The sequence below is a fragment of the Homo sapiens genome, chromosome 11 (genome assembly GCF_000001405.40).
Source record: "Homo sapiens chromosome 11, GRCh38.p14 Primary Assembly".
Taxonomy (NCBI): domain Eukaryota; kingdom Metazoa; phylum Chordata; class Mammalia; order Primates; family Hominidae; genus Homo; species Homo sapiens.
The window spans coordinates 67,750,521-67,772,967 of NC_000011.10; the positions used below are offsets into that span (position 1 = coordinate 67,750,521).

The 22,447-nt window shown below is 46.8% G+C and overlaps 1 long non-coding RNA gene and 1 pseudogene across 1 annotated transcript, besides 3 other annotated features; both read right to left on the bottom strand.

Moving 5' to 3' along the window:
• On the bottom strand, nucleotides 1,215-6,449 carry EVA1CP4 (EVA1C pseudogene 4; annotated as a pseudogene).
• Nucleotides 7,344-7,871: an enhancer, noted in NCBI's record as "OCT4-NANOG-H3K27ac hESC enhancer chr11:67525335-67525862 (GRCh37/hg19 assembly coordinates)". NCBI's record gives its function as "activates a minimal SCP1, AML or CMV promoter by ChIP-STARR-seq in naive H9 embryonic stem cells {active_cell/tissue: H9 hESC(naive)}" and the evidence as "EXISTENCE:reporter gene assay evidence [ECO:0000049][PMID:30033119]".
• Nucleotides 7,872-8,397: an enhancer, noted in NCBI's record as "OCT4-NANOG-H3K27ac-H3K4me1 hESC enhancer chr11:67525863-67526388 (GRCh37/hg19 assembly coordinates)". NCBI's record gives its function as "activates a minimal SCP1, AML or CMV promoter by ChIP-STARR-seq in naive H9 embryonic stem cells {active_cell/tissue: H9 hESC(naive)}" and the evidence as "EXISTENCE:reporter gene assay evidence [ECO:0000049][PMID:30033119]".
• Nucleotides 8,043-12,616, bottom strand: LOC105369358 (uncharacterized). The gene is made up of 3 exons (XR_001748277.1): nucleotides 12,575-12,616; nucleotides 11,549-11,655; nucleotides 8,043-9,029 (listed from the first exon to the last, which is right to left on the bottom strand). It is a non-coding gene; the product is annotated as an uncharacterized LOC105369358 (long non-coding RNA).
• Nucleotides 8,926-9,451: an enhancer, noted in NCBI's record as "OCT4-NANOG-H3K27ac-H3K4me1 hESC enhancer chr11:67526917-67527442 (GRCh37/hg19 assembly coordinates)". NCBI's record gives its function as "activates a minimal SCP1, AML or CMV promoter by ChIP-STARR-seq in primed H9 embryonic stem cells {active_cell/tissue: H9 hESC(primed)}" and the evidence as "EXISTENCE:reporter gene assay evidence [ECO:0000049][PMID:30033119]".
• Nucleotides 12,617-22,447: the final 9,831 nt, after the last annotated feature.

Genomic DNA, 22,447 nt, shown 5'->3' on the forward strand with positions numbered 1-22,447 from the left:
CACCAAAGCCTCACATCTTAGATGCTCTACTGGGTCTCTGCAATTTCTATTAGGGGCCCCATGGGTTTGAATTCCATTCTAGATTTGATAAGAAAATCCAAATGCTCAACCCCGTCAACCCCCCCCCCACCCGTCCACCCCATTTACAAAAGCCAAGTGAAAACTAAGGAGGGGCCGGGTGCAGTGGTTCACACCTGTAATCCCACCACTTTGGGAGGCTGAGGTGAGGGGAACACCTGAGGTCAGGAGTTCGAGACCAGCCTGACTAATATGGTAAAACCCCGTCTCTACTGAAAACACAAAAATTAGCAAGGTGTGGTGGTGGACACCTATAATCCCAGCTACTTGGGAGGCTGAGGCAGGAGAATCACTTGAACCCGGGGGCAGAGGTTGCAGTGAGTGGAGATTGTGCCACTGCACTCCAGCCTGGGTGAGAAAAAGTGAAACTCCAAAGAAAAAGAAGAAAGAAAGGAAGAAAGAAAGAAAGAGAGAGAGAAAGAGAGAAAGAGAGAGAGAGAGGGAGAGAGGGAGGGAGGGAGGGAAAGAAAGAAAGAGAGAGAAAGAGAAAGAAAGAGAGAGAGAGAGAAAGAAAGAAGAGGAGGAAGGAGAAGAAGGAAGGAAGGAAGAAAAGAGAGAGAGGGAGGGAGGGAGGAAGGAAGGGAGGAAGGAAACTAAGGAGGAAGGTGGCGTGTACAGAGGTACAGAGGCCCTCAGGTCCTAGCTGGCCCTGGGTGACAAGAGTGAAACTCCGAAGCAAAAGGAAGGAAGGAAGGAAGGAAGGAAGGAAGGAAGGAAGGAAGGAAGGAAAGAAGTAAACTAAAGAGGAAGGTGGCATGTACAGAGGACCTCAGGTCCTAGCCGGCACTGGCACCTATGCAGGTTCCAATGGGCTGAGCTTTGCAAAAGTTCATTGTGTAACCCAGGAAGCCCAAATATATTTCTGAGCAGATGTCTTTTCAAAGTGATTTTCCTTTTAGGAAGTGAGAGGAGAATGAAGGGGAGGTTTTTCCTACTTCTGATGTTAAAAAAGTCAAAACAAAATAAATTGGTGTTCATTGCAACTATTGGCCAAAGCACTATCATCACCAGGACCTGTACCTCAAACACACCTCCTGACAGCCCCTTCCATTCTAATCAAGGTATGCCCAACTGTGGTCACCCAGGGGCTGTTTACCTTTACTTAAAGAGAAATGCTGGTAGTAAGCCATAAAAATTACCATATTCACCATCTTTCTGCTTCAAAGAAGGTTTTAGATTAGCAATGGCTGGATCAATCACTGTGAGTATGTTCTTGGGAACTAAAAGCCAAGAAGAAATATTTTAAATATGTGGTATATTTTTAAAATGTGGACTCTTAATATATTTTTAAATGCAATGTAGATAAGATTTTAAAATCACTTTCCAAATTGGTGCAGGAGTCACTCCCTCTCCCTGTTACATACACATACATACACACAACCCAATGGCATCCACGTGATCATCAAATGCTCCAGAGAGGTGGGTTTAGGCCCAATTTGCAATATTTAAAAAATGGAGAATAAAAACAAGATATGATATATCCATCCAGCAGAATACACCTCAGTAATAAAAAGGAATGAAAAGCTCGGCATGGTGGCTTACACCTGTAATCCCAGCACTTTGGGAGGTAGAGGTGGACAGATTACTTGAGGTCAGGAGTTCGAGACCAGCCTGGCCAACATATTTGAAACCCCATCTGTACTAAAAATACAAAGTTAGCTGGGCTTGGTGGCACAAGGCTGTAATCCCAGCTACTTGGGAGGCTGAGGCAGGGAGAATTGCTTGAACCCGGGAGGCAGAGGTTGCAGTGAGCGAAGATCACACCACTGCATCCCAGCCTGGGTGACAGCGTGAGACTTCAACTCCAAAAAAAAAAAGTGAAGTACTGATATGATACATGCTACAACATGGATGAACCTCTGAAACATTACATTCAGTTAAAGACGTCAGCCATGCACACACACACAAAACATCCATTGCATAATTCCATTTGTATGAAATATTCAGAAAAGGCAAATCTAGAGAGAAAGTAGATGCGTGGTGTCCTGGGACTGGGGGGTTGGAAATGGGGCAGTGATGGCAAATGGGCACAAGGGAGCTTCGGGGGATTGTGAAAATGTTTTAAAACTGGAGGGTAGTGATGGTTGCACAACTCTAAATTTATTAAAAATCATTGAATTTTATTCATGTGTAATAGAATTTTAAGAAAAATAAACAACACCTCAATAGAGTGGTTAACTCTGGGCCGGGCATGGTGGCTCACGCCTGTAATCCTGGCACTTTGGGAGTCTGAGGCAGGTGGAACACTTGAGTCAGGAGTTCAAGACCAGCCTGGCCAACATGGTGAAACCCCATCTCTACTAAAAAATACAAAAATTAGCCGGACGTGCTCACTTCAACCCAGGAAGTGGAGGTTGCAGTGAGCTGAGAGTGTGCCACTGCACTCCAGCCTGGGTGACAGAGCAAGACTCCATCTCAAAAAAAAAAAAAATATATATATACATATATATATATACACATATGTATATATATACATATATATACATATATATACACATATATACACATATGTATATATACATATATACACATATGTATATATACATATATACACATATGTATATATACATATATACACATATGTATATATACATATATACATATATATATATATATATATATGCACACACACACAGTGGTTAACTCTGAAGATGAGCTTCCCTGGACTTAGTAAAGCAAAATGACTGTGACCAACTCAAAATCCACCATTAAACTCTCCCAGCACCTGCTCTTCTGCTTTCTACCCCAAGCTCTTTGCCTCTGTGTTTCCATCGTAAATCTGGAAAGAATTCGAAGACTCTGTGCTAAAGTGATTTGCTAAATATTATCAGAAAGGAAGACAGAAAGATGCAGAGAGGATGGCAGCGTGACCGACTCCTTTGAAGGTGGTTGAAGACTCTGCTGAACTGACGCTAAGAGTAAGCCCTGGGATGTCAGAACCCCCAGGCAAAGCAGCTGGCAGATGACAACACCCGCTGAAACAGAGGGCAGAGCAAGAATTCTGCAGGCCAAGCACACTGCCGCAGGCTGGGAGAAGGGAGTGGAAACCAAATATTCCTCCTGCATAAAATTGCTTATTTTTGTTTGTTCCTCAGCCCAGCTGAGATCTTGGAGAAGTAGCAACAGGAAATGGAAAGAAAGCAAAAACAAACTGCAAATTCAATTGCACTGCTTTTTAAAAAAAGAACAAGTGAGACATCTTCAGCAGCAAGAAAACCTTGTTTCCTTTCTTGGAGGGCTTAACTAAATTCTTCTGGGGATGTCCCAGGATCAACAACCACAGGACATTCCTAGATTGTGAGTTTTCCAGGTACAGGAGGCCCTGGTGCCTTCGTGCCCATCAGCAGCAAGGGAGACTTCCCAGGGAGGCCCGGTGAAGCTGCTGGAGTTGGCTGATGATTTCCAGGGCCTCAAGGAATGTCCCTTGGCTGTCCTCAGGGCACACCACTGATCCTGGGACCATGACAGCTTCGGAGAGCTGAGCTGAGCTGAGCTGCTGCAAAATGCTTTCTGCTTTAATTGCCTCTCATTCATTTCTGGGCCCTGAGAAGGATGCAGTAGCCCGGGAAGTGTCAGCTCTCCCTGCCAGGGGTGGGACTTCTTTCTCATGTCTGCCTCTTGGCTTGTTCTCAAACTGTGGCTTCAGGAGGGCCTTGGCTCTTGGCAAATGCCAGAGGCTTTACAGTTTGAGAAAGAATCAGAATTTTGAAGAGGAGCTCAGAGAGGAAGGTCATTCTAGGATGCACTTTGCAGAATCACCAGGCAGTGAAAAGGTGAAATTGGCTGTGTATGACACAGGCCACTGCAGGGAATGTGCCCCTCTACTATGTGAAATTGGCTCCGATATCCAGAGAATCTTTTAGGACCTTTAAAATCACCGTTGTCAACACACTTGTCAGATTTTTGCATCTCCTTGTTTCATACTGTTTTAGAATGAGGTCGGGGACTGGGGTGTGATTGATCACCGTCCTGCTCCACTTCAGATATGTTGGTGAAAACACTAGGGACCACTCTTCATGGAGCTCCTACTGTGTGCAGGACCCTGTTCTCAGCAGTTTAAACCAGGGCCATCTTCCTCCTTATCAATACCTTTCCTCTCCCACTCAGCAGCCTCAGCGTCTCAGCCCCTAGTGTGCAGCTAGTGCACATACCCTAGTGTTCACCGTACAGGATGGTTCTCTTTGGAAGACTTAAACCACCAACCCAAGCTAAATTAGGCCCCCTCCACTGCTATAGTCTTCTTCCCTTTTCTAAAATAGCATTTGTCACAATAGGGCATGATGATGTGTCTGGCTATTTGGTTAATGCTTGCCTTTCTCCCTCAACTGTTCACCCCATGAAAACAGGATGGTGTCTTTTTTTTTTTTTTTTTTTTTTTGAGACAGAGTTTCACCCTTCTCACCCAAGCTGAGTGCAGTGGTGAGATTTCAGCTCACTGCCATCACCCAAGCTGAGTGCAGTGGTGAGATCTCAGCTCACTGCCAATTCCGCCTACCAGGTTCAAGTGATTCTCCTTGTCACAGCCTCCCAAGTAGCTGGGATTACAGGCATACTTCACCATGCCCAGATAATTTTGTATTTTTAGTAGAGACAGGGTTTCAACCTGTTAGCCAGGATGGTCTCCATCTCCTGACCTCGTGATCCGCCTGCCTCAGCCTCCCAAAGTGCTGGGATTACAGGCGTGAACCACAATGCCCAGCATTAGTTTAGTTTTTCAGAGACAGGGTTTCACTCTGTTACCCAGGCTGGAGTGCAGTGGTGCAATCATAGCTCACTGCAGCCTTGAACTCTTGGGCTCAAACCTAGGCTCAAGGGATCCTCTCGCCTCAGCTTCTCAAGTACCTGGGAATATATGAATGCACACCATGCCCAGCTTACATTTATTTGTTTAAAAGACAAGAAAGAGGCCAGGCACTGTGGCTCACACCCGTAATCCCAGCATTTTGGGAGGGAGGCTGAGGGAGGAGGATCGCTTGAGCCCAGAATTTGGAGACCAGCCTGGGAAACATAGCAAGGCCTCATCTCTAATTTAAAAAAAAAAAAAAGCAAGAAAGATGATATGATACCAAATCAAATCATTTCCTTTACTAGGAAAAGGGCAAAAACAAGGCATGGTGTCAGTTAAGGATCCCTCCTTAGAGAAGCATGAAAAGTCTGCCCCAAATCTGGTAAATCCAGGAACAACTGACTGTCAAGCTGATGGTGCATTCTAGGTAAGGATGATTTGGACCAGGTTGTACTTTGTTCCCAAAGAATTCAAGGAAAACTTTGTTTGTTTGTTTAATCTGCTTAACATAGTAAAATCTTTCTTTGCAATATCATACAAAGTTGGCATTACATATGCACTGTTGAAGAAAACATAGTTAATTTTTTTTTAAAGAATGTACTCCAAAACCATTTAATTAGTAAAAATGTTTAATAATGATTTTTTTTTTTTTTTTTTTTGAGACGGAGTCTTGCTCTGTTGCCCAGGCTGGAGTGCAGTGGCCTGATCTCTGCTTACTGCAAGCTCCACCTCCCAGGTTCATGCCATTCTCCTGCCTCAGCCTCCAGAGTAGCTGGGACTACAGGTGCCCACCACAACACCCGGATAATTTTTTGTATTTTTAGTAGAGACAGGGTTTCACCGTGTGAGCCAGGATGGTCTCAATCTCCTGACCTCATGATCCACCTGCCTTGGCCTCCCAAAGTGCTGGGATTACAGGCATGAGCCACTGTTCCTGGCCCTTTGAGTACATTTTCTAAGAAGTTGGTCATGAGTTCAGATGTCTGCCTCAAAGAGATACTTGTGGTTTCCATTAAAGAACCCACCTTCCCTTTCTACAGGAGTATTTATGGGAGATATGGGCCTGGAGGTTGGAATCTATCCTGGTTGTACTTTGCTCTACTGAAGTAAGGAGTAAACCTACAAATACATTCATATTGAAGTGTACAAAGGGGGCTCTACAATAGGTAGGAATTCTATTTAGTTTTGTTGGGTAACAAATCCTTTGAGAAGCAAATAATAGCTCACCTACAAAACTGGTGATCTGTATAAGTTGGGATTTTTCATGGATCAGTTTTGCTTGGATTGAACTATATAATCACAAATATATTTATACCTAGAGAGACAGAAAGAGTGTCTGTTGAAACTGTATCATCTTAACGTGTCTATAAAAGGCAATACCTGGAAGGTGGTGGATGCCACACAGGTTAAGCTGTCTTCCCTCTGGGAGGCAGGCTTCTGGGAACTACACATTTGGTAATCTTGCCCATAAAATGCCAATTGGACACTTACTGTAGAATGCCAAGGGCACTGTAGATTCAGATAGTCCCCATCACAGGCATAGATGGTGTGGTTTTGCAGGAGTTTGGTTAGGTAACCTAGAAAATATTCAGTCGGGTTACAAGAGGCCCAGGAACCCACCATTCCTCCTTGGGTTTGGGGACAGGAGGACGTTGGTTCCCCTGGGGAAGGACTGTTGAGTTAACAACATGTGGGGTAGGGCCTCCCTAGCAGCTCTGGTGCAGAGGTCACAAAACCAGGCCCAGAGGTGGGGCACAGGAGCCAATGTCAGCTTTCATGTTGATATGGAAAGGGGGCAGGGGAGTGCTGGGTAGAGAAGGGTGGGGACCCTAGCGAGGGCTCTGCCCTCGGGCTTGTGCCCTTGGACCTTAGTGAGAACAGGCACTCCTGTTTTCATGTCCAAATGTTGCATTTTCCAAGACTACTCTGGCCTGCTGTGAGCCCCATTCTGTGTCCATAAAAAACCCAAGACCCTAGTGGGCACAGACACAAGTGGCTGGACGTCGAGAGGAGCAGAGAAGCAGAAGAGCACACCGACAGACATCAGCAGATGCTGGCAGGCTTTTGACAGTGGGGAGATGTGGAATTCAGTTGGGGGTGGTCGGTGGAGAGTCTGGCTACTGTTTCAATGTCTGGGTCAGAAACCTTGGTCTGGGATGGCCCACTGAATGGTTTGGAGAGCTCTTTCCTCTTCAGGAAGCACTAAGGTATTGGCCAGGAGCCAAGAAGTCCTGAAGCACCTTTATAAACCAGGAAAAAAAAATTGGGGTGAGTATCCCCTGGACGTGTGGATGCCCATCCTGAGGGAGGCTTTCATTTGCTCATCTCCCACTAGTGAGGCCATGTCTTATTGGGATGAGAGGGTGCAGTTTCATTTCAAGAAATCACTCGTGGCTCTGTCTTGGTGCTGGAGAGGAAAGACAGGCAGGGTGCCCTGTGCAGAGAGGTGATGGTGGGGCTCTGCTGTGGGTTGAATGGTGTCCTTTCAAATTCACATTCATCAATGTGGGGAAAAGAAAGAGAGATCAGATTGTTACTGTGTCTGTGTAGAAAGTAGAAATAAGAGACTCCGTTTAGTTCTGTACTAAGAAAAATTCTTCTGCCTTGAAATGCTGTTAATCTGTAACCCTACCCCCAACCCTGTGCTCCCTGAGACATGTGCTGTGTCAACTCAGGGTTAAATGGATTAAGGGCTGTGCAGGGTGTGCTTTGTTAAACAAATGCTTGAAGGCAGCAGCTTGTTCAGAGTCATCACCACTCCCTACTCTCAAGTACCCAGAGACACAAAACTGCTGAAGGCTGCAGGAACCTCTGCCTAGGAAAGCCGGGTATTGTCCAAGATTTCTCCCCATGTGATAGCCTGAGATATGGCCTCCTGGGAAGGGAAAGACCTGACTGTCCCCCAGCCCGACACCCGTAAACGGTCTGTGCTGAGGATTAGTGAAAGAGGAAGGCCTCTTTGCAGTTGAGATAAGAGGAAGGCATCTGTCTCCTGCTTGTCCCTGGGCAATGGAATGTCTCGGTGTCAAGCCCGATTGTATATTCCATCTACTGAGATAAGGGAAAACCACCTTAGGGCTGGAGGTGGGACATGCTGGCAGCAATACTGCTCTTTAATGGATTAAGATGTTTATGTGTATGCACATCAAAAGCACAGCACTTAATTCTTTACCTTGTTTATGATGCAGAGTCCTTTGTTCACGTGTTTTCCTACTGACCTTCTCTCCACTATTACCCTATTGTCCTGCCAAGTCCCCCTCTCTGGGAAACATCCGATAATGATCAAGAAATACTAAGGGAACTCAGAGGCTGGTGCTGGCACAGGTCCTCCGTATGCTGAACGGTGGTCCCCTGGGCCCTATTTTCTTTCTGTATACTTTGTCTCTGTGTCTCTTTCTTTTCCAAGTCTCTCGTTCCACCTGACGAAAAATGCCCACAGGTGTGGAGTGGCAACCCACCCCTTCAATCAGGAACCTCAGAATGTGACATTTGGAAATAGCGTGGTTGCAGATGTAACGAATTAACTTGGCGACATACTGGAGTAAGGTGGGCCCTTAACACCCTATGACTGGAATCCTTATAAGAAGAAAAGAAGAGACACAGAGGGAAGACAGCTGCGTGCAGCTGGAATGATGCACCTGAAGCCAAGGGATGCTGCGCATTGCCAGCCACCACCCAAAACTGGAAAAGGCCAGGAAGGATTCTTCCCTAGAACCTTCAAAGGCAGCACAGCCCTGCCAACAACTGCATTCAGACTCTGGCCTCCAGAACTGTGAGAGGATGAATTTCTGTCGTTTTCAGCCACCCAAGCTTAGGAAATGGGTTGCAGCAGACTCGGAATAAGACAGGCAGCCAGTCAGCCTCCGTGGAATTCCCAGGCAGCTTGCAGGAGCCACAGTGGGCCCTGGGCTCTGAGAAGGTCTGAGGCCCAGCAGGCGCAGGGGCCTAAACTATTTCTCTGCAAGGAGGAAGGAAGGTTCATCCAGAACGTAGATCCCCTTCCTCCTTCTCACACCTCACAAGGTCACAGCGAGGTGGCTGGGAGGACAGCCAGGGACTTTTCACTGAGATGTGTGGGAGACAGCTTGGTAGCCCTTGGCCTCTGAAGGGAGGAGGTGGCATGAAGAAGGGCAGCTTCTGAAATTCCCAGTTCCTGCTTGATGACCTGTGTGTAAAGTATTCCTGTTTAGGTCTCAAAATCCTCTCAGAAATATAATTCTCAGAAAATCCAGGCACCCAATCCAGCTCCCTGGCCTTCCTGAAATCTGAAGTCAAAGGGGCTGAGCCAGCCTGCCCTGGGTGTCAGGCCTCTGAGCCCAAGCTAAGCCATCATATCCCCTGTGACCCGCACATACACATCCAGATGGCTGGTTCCTGCCTTAAGTGATGACATTCCACCACAAAAGAAGTGAAAATGGCCTGTTCCTGCCTTAACTGATGACATTGTCTTGTGAAATTCCTTCTCCTGGCTCATCCTGGCTCAAAACCTCCCCCACTGAGTACCTTGTGACCCCCACTCTGCCCACCAGAGAACAACTCCCCCTTTGACTGTAATTTTCCTTTACCTACCCAAATCCTATAAAACAGCCCCACCCCATCTCCCTTCACTGACTCTCTTTTCAGACTCAGCCCCCCTGCACCCAGGTGAAATAAACAGCCATGTTGCTCACATAAAGCCTGTTTGGTGGTCTCTTCACACGGATGCGCATGAAATTTGGTGCAGTGACTGGGATCGGGGGACCTCCCTTGGGAGATCAATCCCATGTCCTCCAGTTCTTTGCTCTGTGAAAAAGATCCACCTACAACCTCAGGTCCTCAGACCCACCAGCTCAAGGAACATCTCACCAATTTTAAATTGGGCAAGCAGCCTCTTCTTACTCTCTTCTCCAACCTCTCTCACTGTCCCTCAACCACTTTCTCCTTTCCACTCTTCAATCTCTCCCTTCTCTTAATTTCAATTCCTTTCATTTTCTGGTAGAGACAAAGGAGACACATTTTATCTGTGGACCCAAAACTCCAGTGCAGGTCACGGACTGGGAAGGCAGCCTTCCCTTGGTGTTTAATCATTGCAGGGAAGCCTCTCTGATTATTCACCCACGTTTCAAAGGTGTCAGACCATGCAGGGACACCTGCCTTGGTCCTTCACCCTTAGCGGCAAGTCCTGCTTTTCTGTGGGAGGGGAAAGTACCCCAACCACTTTTCTCCATGTCTCTACCCCTTCTCCACCTTTCTGGGGGACAAGAAACCCCCAACCCCTTTTCCTTCACCCTTAGTGGCAAGACCCACTTTTCTTGGGGAGGGGCAAGTACCACATCTTATCTCTGCACCCGAATCCCTTATATCCATGCCCTGACCTCTTATCTCTGTGCCCCAATCCCTTATTTCTACAACCTGACCTCTTATATCTCTGCACCCCAATCCCTTATTTCCATGCCTGGACCTCGTATCTCTGTGCCCTGACCCCTTTCCCACTTTTCTGGAGGGGAAGAACCCCCAAACCCCTTCCCTCCATGTCTCTACTCTCTCTTCTCTCTGGGCTTGCTTCCTACACTATGGGCAACCTTCCACCCTCCTTTCCTCCTTCTTCTCCCTTAGCCTGTGTTTTTAAGAACTTAAAACCTCTTCAACTCTCACCTGACCTAAAATCTAAGCATCTTATTTTCTTCTGCAATGCCGCTTGACCCCAATACAAACTCAACAATAGTTCCAAATAGCCAGAAAATGGCACTTTCAATTTTTCCATCCTGCAAGATCTAAATAATTCTTGTCATAAAATAGGCAAACGGTCTGAGGTGCCTGACATCCAGGCATTCTTTTCCACATTGGCCCCTCCCTAGTCTCTGTGCCCAAAGCAACTCATCCCAAATCTTCCTCCTTTCCCTCCTGCCTGTCCCCTCAGTCCCAAACCCAAGCATTGCTGAGTCTTTCTAATCTTCCTGTTCTACAGACCCATCTGACCTCTCCCCTCCTTCCCAGGCTGCTCCTCGCCAGGCTGAGCTAAGTCCCAATTCTTCCGCAGCCCCCGCTCCTCCACCCTGTAATCTTCTTATCACCTCCCCTCCTCACACCCGGTCCCGCTTACAGTTTCATTCCGTGACTAGCCCTCCCCAACCTGCCCAGCAATTTACTCTTAAAAGGGTGGCTGGAGCTAAAGACATAGTCAAGGTTAATGCTCCTTTTTCTTTATCCCAAATCAGATAGCGTTTAGCCTCTTTTTCATCAAATATAAAAATCCAGCCCAGTTCATGGCTTGTTCGGCAGCAACCCTGAGAGGCTTTACAGCCCTAGACCCTAAAAAGTCAAAAGGCCGTCTTATTCTCAATATACATTTTATTTCCCAATCTGCTCCCTACATTAAATAAAACTCCAAAAATTAAATTCTGGCCCTCAAACCCCACAAAAGATTTAATTAACCTTACCTTCAAGGTGTACCATAATAGAAAAAAGTTGTAATTCCTTACCTCCACTGTGAGACAAACCCCAGCCACATCTCCAGCACAGAAGAACTTCCAAACACCTGAACCGCAGCGGCCAGGTGTTCCTCCAGAACCTCCTCCCCCAGGAGCTTGCCACAAGTGCCAGAAATCTGGCCACCAGGCCAAGGAATGCCTGCACCCCAGGATTCCTCCTAAGCTGCGTCCCATCTGTGCGGGACCCCACTGGAAATCGGACTGTTCAACTCACCTGGCAGCCACTCCCAGAGCCCCTGGAACTCTGGCCCAAGCCTCTCTGACTGACTCCTTCTCAGCTTAGCGGCTGAAGACAGATGCTGCCCGATTGCCTCGGAAGCCCTGTAGACCATCATGGACCCCGAGCTTTAGGTAACTCTCACAGTGGAGGGTAAGTCCGTCCCCTTCTTAATCAATACGGAGGCTACCCACTCCACATTACCTTCTTTTCAAAGGCCTGTTTCCCTTGCCTCCATAACTGTTGTGGGTATTCACGGCCAGGCTTCTAAACCTCTTAAAACTCCCGAACTCTGGTGCCAACTTAGACAATACTCTTTTAAGCACTCCTTTTAGTTATCCCCACCTGCCCAGTTCCCTTATTAGGCTGAGACACTTTAACTAAATTATCTGCTTCCCTGACTATTCCTGGGCTACAGCCAAACCTCATTGCTGACTTTTCCCCCAGTTCAAAGCCTCCTTCACATCCTCCTCTTGTATCTCCCCACCTTAACCCACAAGTATAGGATACCTCTACTCCCTCCTTGGTGACCGATCATGCACCTCTTACCATCTCATTAAAACCTAATCACCCTTACTCCACTCAACGCCAATATCCCATCCCACAGCATGCTTTGAAAGGATTAAAGCCTGTTATCACTCACCTGCTACAGCATGGCCTTTTAAAGCTCCTTACAGTTGCCCCATTTTACCTGTCCTAAAACCAGACAAGCCTTACAAGTTAGTTCAGGATCTGCACTCTATCAACCAAATTGTTTTGCCTATCCACCCTGTGGTGCCAAACACATATACTCTCCTATCCTCGATACCTCCCTCCACAATCCATTATTTTGTTCTGGATCTCAAACATGCTTTCTTTACTATTCCTTTGCACCCATCATCCCAGCCTCTCTTCGCTTTCACTTGGACTGACCCTGACACCCATCAGGCTCAGCAAATTACCTGGGCTGTACTGCTGCAAGGCTTCACAGACAGCCCCCATTACTTCAGTCAAGCCCAAATTTCTTCCTCATCTGTTACCTACCTCAGCATAATTCTCATAAAAACACACGTGCTCTCCCTGCTGATCATGTCCGATTAATCTCCCAAACCTCAATCCCTTACAAAACAACAACCCTTTCCTTCCTAGGCATGGTTAGGGCGGTCAGAATTCTTACACAAGAGCCAGGACTGCACCCTGTAGCCTTTCTGTCCAAACAACTTGACCTTATTGTTTTAGCCAAGACATCATATCTCCGTGCAGCGGCTGCTGATGCCCTAATACTTTTAGAGGCCCTCAAAATCACAAACTATGCTCAACTTACTCTCTACATTTCTCATAACTTCCAAAATCTATTTTCTTCCTCACAGCTGATGCATATACTTTCTGCTCCCCGGCTCCTTCAGCTGTACTCACTCTTTGTTAAGTCCCACAATTACCATTGTTCCTGGCCCAGACTTCAGTCCGGCCTCCCACATTATTCCTGATACCGCACCTGACCCCCATGACAGTATCTCTCTGATCCACCTGACATTCACCCCATTTCCCCATATTTCCTTCTTTCCTGTTCCTCACCTGATCAAGCTTGATTTATTGATGGCAGTTCCACCAGGCCTAATCGCCACACACCAGCAAAGGCAGGCTATGCTATAGTACAACCCACTAGCCCACCTCTTAGAACCTCTCATTTTCTTTCCATCGTGGAAATCTATCCTCAAGGAAATAACTTCTCAGTGTTCCATCTGCTATTCTACTACTCCTCAGGGATTATTCAGGCCCTTCCCTACACATCAAGCTCGAGGATTTGCCCCCATCCAGGACTGGCAAATTAGCTTTACTCAACATGCCCCGAGTCAGATAACTAAAATACCTCTTGGTCTAGGTAGACACTTTCACTGGATAGGTACAGGCCTTTCCTACAGGGTCTGAGAAGGCCACCGCAGTCATTTCTTCCCTTCTGTCAGACATAATTCCTCAGTTTAGCCTTCCCACCTCTATACAGTCTGATAACAGACCAGTCTTTATTAGTCAAATCAGCCAAGCAGTTTTTCAGGCTCTTAGTATTCAGTGAAACCTTTATATCCCTTACAGTCCTCAGTCTTCAGGAAAAGTAGAATGGACTAAAGGTATTTTAAAAACACACCTCACCAAGCTCAGCCACCAACTTCAAAAGCACTGGACAATACTTTTACCACTTTCCCTTCTCAGAAGTCAGACCTGTCCTCAGAATGCTACAAAATACAGCCCATTTGAGCTCCTGTACAGATGCTCCTTTTTATTAGGCCCCAGTCTCATTCCAGACACCAGACCAAGTTAGACTGTGCCCCCAAAAAACTTGTCATCCCTACTATCTGCTGTCTGTCATACTCCTATTCACCGTTCTCAACTACTCATACATGCCCTGCTCTTGTTTACACTGCCAGTTTACACTGTTTCTCCAAGCCATCACAGCTGATATCTCCTGGTGCTATCCCCAAACTGCCACTCTTAACTCTTGAAGTAAATAAAGAATCTTTGCTGGCAGGACTATGCTGAATCTCCTTAGGCACTCTCTAATCAGATGTCCTAGATCCTCCCAATTCTTAGACCTTTAATACCTGTTTTTCTCCTTCTCTTATTCCATTTAGTTTTTCAATTCATACAAAACTGTATCCAGGCCATCACCAATAATTCTAAATGACAAATGTTCCTTCTAACAACCCCACAATATCACCCCTTACCACAAAATCTTCCTTCAGCTTAATCTCTCCCACTCTAGGTTCCCACACGGTCCCTAATCCTGCTCGAAGCAGCCCTGAGAAACATCGCCCATTATCTCTCCATACCATCCCCCAAAATTTTCGCTGTCCCAACACTTTACCACTATTTCATTTTATTTTTCTTATTAATATAAGAAGACAGGAACGTCAGGCCTCTGAGCCCAAGCTAAGCCATCATATCCCCTGTGACCTGCACATATACATCCAGATGGCCGGTTCCTGCCTTAACTGATGATATTCCACCACAAAAGAAGTGAAAATGGCCTATTCCCACCTTAACTGATGACATTTATCTTGTGAAATTCCTTCTCCTGGCTCATCCTGGCTCAAAACCTCCCCCACTGAGTACCTTGTGACCCCCACTCTGCCCGCCAGAGAACAACCCCCCTTTGACTGTAATTTTCCTTTACCTATCCAAATCCTATAAAATGGCCCCACCCCTATCTCCCTGCACTGACTCTCTTCTCAGACTCAGCCTGCCTGCACCCAGGTGAAATAAACAGCCATGCTGCTCACATAAAGCCTGTTTGGTGGTCTCTTCACGTGGATGTGCATTAAACAGGTGTCCTCACGCCCACCAGCCCAGAGTGCTCTCTGGAGGAAGGCTACAGACACTTCCTGGTTCACTCATCCAGACGTTAGCTGTCTTGCTGAAACTCCTTTTTTCACCCTTGAAAACCACTGGAAGAATGGCCCAGAACCCAGCTATCCTGAGTAAGTTCACTTAAAGAAGCAAAATCTAACATGAGTGGCAAAACGGACATTGGCACCAAGAGTGTGGGTCGGAGTCCTGCCCCTTGGAAGTACATTATCGCTTGTACAGTGTACCCCCCAGGCACCAAGAGACCAGGCTGAGACCCTTCAGTGGCCCTGGGCCTCTGGTTCGTGTCTTCCCTCCTGGCACACAGGCAGTCTCTCATAAAACAATGAGTACTGAAAGTTCCAGCCTTCTGGGTGGGTTCTCAGCACCCCGTCATGAGCCACACCCTGCCACAGGGAAATCAGGGTCACCCTGATGCTACCCCTAGGCCAGTGCCCCTTCTGCAGTGCCCCAGGCTGGCACCCCTATACTTAGATCTCTTCAGCCTCCTCATGAAAACCTTCTTGTCCATCACCCCAGCATTCCCTGGACTGTGCCAAATGAGCAGCTGACCACACGTCAGATCAATTTTCAGAGTTTGAATTTGGTTTAATATTCATGGCTTATCCAAAAGATCTTGTCACCATAGCTAGATGAAAAAAATGACAAGGCTCTGGAGAAGCAGAGCCACAAGATGGAAGATACCTGGGTCCCAGGTTCATGAGGAGAGGAGCTTCCTGCTCCACAGACTGTCACATGAGTGGGAATGAAACTTTTGCTGTGTTTAGACCATTACCTTTCTTCACTCTGTCACATAGTCTATCCCCGCTAAACAGAACTTGACCTCCGCCAGACCGTTTACATCAAGACCTGTATGTGTAGTGCAGTGGCCTGAGCCTCCAATCCATGCCCCACCTATCCAGCCGGCCTTACCATATTCTTACTCTGAGAGTGGTTTTCTGGGGGCCGAAGCTCAGCGCATAGAATTGACTAATGCCAGATCCTTCAGGCGCTTTGCACTTTGAAGTCTATCTGTCCTAGCACATTCCAAGTACAAAGAAGACACTTCAGCAGTACAATCTGGCCTACACTCAGTTCAATTCCTTCTTCAAAAACCTAGGCCCAGCCAGGTGTGGTGGCTCACATCTGTGATCCCAACACTTTGGGAGGCTGAGGTGGGTGGATCACCTGAGGTCAGGAGTTTGAGACCAGCTTGGCCAACATGGTGAAATCCAGTCTCTACTAAAAATGCAAAAAATTAGATGGGTGTGGTGGTGCCCCACTTTAATCCCAGCTACGCTGGAGGCTGAGGTGGGGAAATTGCTTGAACCCTGGAGGCGGAGGCTGCAGTGAGCCGAGATTGTGCCACTGCACTCCAGCCGGGGAAACAGAGCAAAACCCCATCTCAAAAAAGAAAAACAAAAACAAAAACAAACAAACAAACAAAAAAAACAAGCCTAGGCCCACATCCAGACAATGGAATGTTATTTAGCACTAAAATGAAATGAGCTATCAAACCACAAAAAGACATGGAGAAATCTTAAATGCATATTCCTAAGTGAAAGAAGCCCATCCGAAAAGGCTGCACACTGTATAGTTCCAACTATTTGACATTCTGGATAAAGCAAAACTATGGAGACAGTGAAAATATCCATGGTTTCCAGAGGTCAGGACAAAGGAGGAATGAATTGGTGAAACACAGAAGATTTTTAGGCAGTGAAACTACTCTGTGTGATACTACAATGGTGGATCCACGTCATTGTCCATATGTCCAAACCCACGCAATGTACAACACCAAGAGTGAGCCCTCATGTAAACTATGGACTGTAGGTGATAGTGATGTGTCAATGTAGGTTTATTGATTATGAAAAATATCCCACTCAGGTTTGATATTGCTAGTGGGGGAAGCTGCACGTGTGTATGTGTGGCAGGTGGGAGTAGAGGTTGATGAAAACTGCACTTTCTGTTCCATTTTTCTTTCTTTCTTTTCTTATCTCTTTCTTTCCTTTTCCTTCCCTTCCTTCCTTCCCTCCCTCCTTTCTATCTCTCTCTCTGTTTCTTTCTCCTTTCTTTTCTTCTTTCTTTGTCACCCAGGCTGGAATACAGAGGTAAGATCTCAGCCCACTGCAACCTCCACCTCCCAGGTTCAAGCAGTTCTCCTGCCTCAGCCTCCCAAGTAGCTAGGATTACAGGCATGCACCACCAGGCCCAGCTAATTTTTTGTATTTTTAGTAGAGACAGGGTTTCATCATGTTGGTCAGTCTGGTCTCAAACTCCTGACCTCGTGATCTGCCCACCTCAGCCTCTCAGAGTGCTGGGATTACAGGTGTGAGCCATGGCACCTGGCCTCTGCTCCATTTTTCTATGAACCTAGAACTTCTCTAACACATTAAGTCTATTTAAAAGGAAAAAAAAAATCCCTATCCCCAGGATAGCATTACCTTTGGGAGGAGAGGAGCTAGCGTTAGGGAGGGGAGAATGAGGCGCTCAGGCAAGCTGGCCATGCCCTGTTCCTTGATCTGCATGGCGTGCATGTGCTTTACTTTGTGAAAGCTCACCCAGTTATCCACTTTGGATATGTGAACAAAAATTTTTAAGAAAACTTCACCTGCAGTTATCTGACCTACACTTTTAAACAATAAAGAAATCCTAGGCACGTGGAGCCCTGGGTAACTCATGGAGCAAGGGGGTGCGGAACGCTTTCCATAGCCAGCCTCAGTCCCACCAGGATGGGCTGCTAGGTGACAGCAGGACAGGCTCATGAGGACCAGCCATCACCCAAATGCTCTGGTCCTCCTGGCTACCTGCCGATGGCTCAAGCTGTTTGGTCTACAGTGCCAAAAGCTCAGGAAGAAGGACAGCTAGGACAACCCCATAGTTTCAGCAACACGGAGGCCATCAAGATCCATTTTGAAACCATATGGAATGGGTGGTGGGGACAGAAGCTTGTTTGGAAAAGGTTGAAAAATGAGTGGAGGGGCCTGGTGCGGTGGCTCATGCTTGTAATCCCAGCACTTCGAGAGGCTGAGGCAGGTGGATCACCTGAGATTGAGAGTTCAAGACCAGGCTGACTAACATGGAAAAACCCCATCTCTGCTAAAAATACAAAATTAGCCAGGCATGGTGGCAGGTGCTTGTAATCCCAGTTACGTGGGAGGCTGAGGCAGGTGAATCACTTGAATCTGGGAGGCAGAGGTTGCAGTGAGCTGAGATTGCGCCATTACACGCCTGCCTGGGCAGCAAGAGCAAAACTCCATCTCAAAAAAAAAAAAAAAAAAAATGAAAAGTGGGTGGAAGTTAAGAAAGTCAAAGATGGTCCATGTGGTAGGCAGAATAACGGCCCCCAAAGATGTCCACAGACCTTAATCCCCAGGACCACTGATTATGTTACCAGAGATTGATGGTAAAAGGGACTTGGCAGATGTGATTAAGTTCAGGATTTTGAGTGGGGGAGATTATCCTGGATTATCTGGAAGGGGTTTATATAATCACAAGAGTCCTTAAAAGGAGGAAGGTGGCTGAGTGCAGTGGCTCACACCTGTAATCCCAGCACTTTGGGAGACCGAGGTGGGTGTATCACCTGAGATCAGGAGTTTAAGACCAGCCTGGCCAACATGGTGAAACTCTGTCTCTACTAAAAATACAAAAAATTAGCCGGGCATGGTGGCGGATGCCTGTAATCCCAGCTACTCAGTAGGCTGATGCAGGAGAATAGCTTGAACCTGGGAGGCGGAGGTTGCAGTGAGCCGAGATCACATCATTGCACTCCAGCCTGGGCAACAAGAGCAAGACTCCATCTCAGAAAAAGAAAGAAAGAAAGAAAGAAACATAATAAAATGGAAATGGTTTATACTGGATCATGCTACCTGGGGAATGCAGAGAGGGGATATTCCCAAGCAGGGAGTGTCTTTTCTCCTACGATTGACTCTGGAACGGTGAGGAGCTGCTGGATTCTATCAACAGTTCGAGAGTGCCCTATATAACCAGCTCTCAACTCACTCACCCCCAGCTGTTTGGTGTCTATGAATGACAATTTCGAGGTGAACAAACAACATCCTGTTTGGAGGGCTGCTACTCTGGCTAAGGACGGTAAAAATCAGTCAGCTCAGTGAGCTGAATTGCATGCTGTTTTCCTAGCCACTGATTTATACTAGAATGATGCCAGTAACTGATTTTCAAAGAATCATGGTATGTGTCCCAAAGTGTTCCACAGGAGTGTGATATTGTGAAATATATATTTGATCAGTTGAACAGTGGTAGAAGCCCCCTGTTTGGGTTTTTACTGACTCCTGGGCAGTGACCAGTGTCTTGGCTGTACACTCAGGCAAGAGGGCAATCGCCACCTGGCTTATTAACGGATGTCCATATGGGGCACAGCCCTGTGGAGAGGTGAAAGATGCCTTGAAGTAGAACAGGTTCACGCCCATCAGAAAAACTCCCTTCCAGGCTCAGGAGGTGGCTGGAGTCACCAAGTGGATTTTTTGTGTGTGCTCCTGTGAGGTGGTCACCTGGGCCCATGAAATGAGTGAACAAGGCCGTTCTGCAGCAGTGTAGAGATGGGCTGAATCTAGCCATGCCCCTTGGGCTCAAAATGCCAATAAGAACTGTTCTGTCACTGGGTGCGGTGGCTCAAGCCTGTAGTTCCAGCACTTTGGGAGGCTGAGGCGGGTGGATCACCTGAGGTTGGGAGTTTGAGACCAGCCTGACCAACATGGAGAAACCCCATCTCTACTAAATATACAAAATTACCGGGGCGTGGTGGTGTTTGCCTATAATCCCAGCTGAGGCAGGAGACTTGCTTGTACCCAGGAGGCGGAGGTTGCGGTGAGCCGAGATGATGCCATTGGACTCCAGCCTGGGCAACAAGAGTGGGACAACGTCTCAAAAAAAAAAAAGAACTATTCTGTCTGCCAGCAAGAGAAACAGAGACTGCCCACTGCTGCGAGGCACATTCACTGGTGGGAAAGCTCTTAACATAACTGGCAAGTGAGATGGATGCTGGCAGCCCTGGGGGGCTGCATCTAGGTCTTGACAGGAATAGACACTGTCTCTGGACTGGGTTTTGTTTGTTTTTAGAAGATGCAAACAGCAGAGTGCAATTAAAAAAAAGAAAAAAGGCCAAGCATGGTGGCGCATGCCTGTAATCCCAGCACTTTGGGAGGCTGAGGCAGACAGATGACCTGAGGTCAGGAGTTCAAGACCAGCCTGGCAAACATGGTGACACCCCGTCACTACAAAAATACAAAAAAAAAATTAGCCAATCCCAGCTACTCGGGAGGCTGAGGTGGAAGAATCACCTGAACCCAGGAGGCGGAGGTTGCAGTGAGCCGAGATCATGCCATTGCACTACAGCCTGGGAGACAGAGGGAGACTCTGTCTCACACAAAAAAAAAAAAAAGAAAAAAAAAACAGAACAGGAGATAGTGCATGAATCTTGATGGCCAACGTCATTGCTTCAGAAAAAGGAGCACTCTGTACAGCCCATAATGTCCAACAATGGGCAGAGAGGCATCCTCTTCAGAGTCATAATTTGGCACAGAAGTAGAACAGGCAATTCAAACCCTGGTTGTTTAAAACGGGGGAGGTGAAAGCAGAAGGGCTGGTGATAGAGTTTGGATCTCTATCTCCACCAAATTGTGTGTTGAATTGTAATCCCCAGTGTTGGAGCTGGGGCCTGGTGGGAGGCAACTGGATCATGGGGGCAGGTTTCCCATGGATGGTTTAGCACTATTCTCTTTGATATTGTACTCACAATAGTGAGTGAGTTCTCGTGAGATCTGGTCATTTAAAAGTGTGTGGGGCCGGGCGTGGTGGCTCATGCCTGTAATCCCAGCATTTTGAAAGGCTGAGGTGGGTGGATCACCTGAGGTCAGGAGTTCAAGACCAGCCTGGCCAACATGGCAAAACCCTGTCTCTAGTAAAAATACAAAAAGTAGCCAGCGTGTTTGTTGGCCCCTGTAATCCCAGCTACTTGGGAGGCTGAGGCAGGAGAATCACTTGAGCTCAGGAGGCAGAGGTTGCAGTGAGCCAAGATCACACCACTGCACTCCAGCTTGGATGACAGAGCAAGACTCTATCTCAAAAAAAAAAACAAAAAAAGTGCACAGCACCTCCACCAGTCATTTTCTCTGGCTCCTGCTCCTGCCATGTAAGAGAACTGCTCCTCCTTCATCTTCTGCCATGATTGGAAGCTTCCTGAGGCCTCACCAGAAGCAGAAGCTGCTATGCTTCCCGTACGGTCTGCAGAACAGTGAGCCAATTCAACCTCTTTCCTTGTAAATTACCCAATCCCATTGCTTCTCAGCCTTTTGGCTAAGATCAAGTATAAATTACCCAGTCTCAGGTATTTCTTTATAGCAATGCAAGAATGAACTAATATAACTGGCTTGCACACTCACAAAGTGTGCAATGCTAAATACTTAGCATGAGTGGTCTAAAGGAGTGGACTTCCAGATTTTTCTCCATTTTTTGGGTTGATCTGGGGAAGGGGGGATGGGGAGGATGCTGACATGACCATGAATTTTTTTTTTTTTCCTGAGATGGAGTCTTGCTATGTCACCCAGGCTGGAGTGCAGTGGTGCAATCTCAGCTCACTGCAACCTCTGCCTCCCAGGTTCAAGCAATTCTCCTGTCTCAGCCTCCCGAGTAGCTGGGATTACAGGCGCATGCCACCAGGCCCAGCTAATTTTTGTATTTTTAGTAGAGATGGGGTTTCACCATGTTGGCCAGGTTGGTCTCAAACTCCTGACATCATGATCCACCCATCTCAGCCTCCCAAAGTGCTGGGATTACAGGTGTGAACCACCGCACCCAGCCCAATGAACAGTTCTTGAATGAATGAGACAGTGAAGAAGACTACCAGAACAAGAGCAGATCAAAGGTGAATAAGTGAGTAGTAGCTTCTGATTAATCCTCATCAGCAACCAACATAACCCAGGGCTTATAGATTTCTCTGTGTAATATGCTACACACACGTCTACGGAAAGAGAGAGAGAGAGAAGCACATCAGTCAAGCAATTTTCAAAAGTTACTCTAAATGTGCTGTGTTGGTCTTGTATTACAATCTTTAGATTACACTACTATTTTATTTCAAACAGGACTGGTAGAAACTTCTTCATGCCTTTTCAACCAAAGGCCTTCAATCCTATAAAAATGATCACCTTGTTCTTTGACCAAGTACCAACCTTAGAAAGTTATGCAGCGAACACCATCTGACTTAGATTATTTGAAAAGTAACTGGATCAATCCCCCTTTACCCCAAACATCTAAACGGAACAATTTTCTTTTCTTCGGGATGCATCATAATCCTCAAACTGCAGAGCCACTTGGCGATGAAGCCAGGATCACAGTGCATTTGATAACTTCATGCAACTTTTTACTAGCACTTAATACTCAGATATGAAATCTGTACTTGATCTTTTCTGCTTGGAATTGGCCAGATTAGTGGTTCTGCCCCCACATTCAACAAAAGGCTCTCAGAAACACTCAGGGTCGCTAACCAATCAGAAGGACCAACAGAGCTTGACAAACAGACAAGAAGGAGAAGGGCACCGCCTTCCACCCCACCCGCTTAGACAG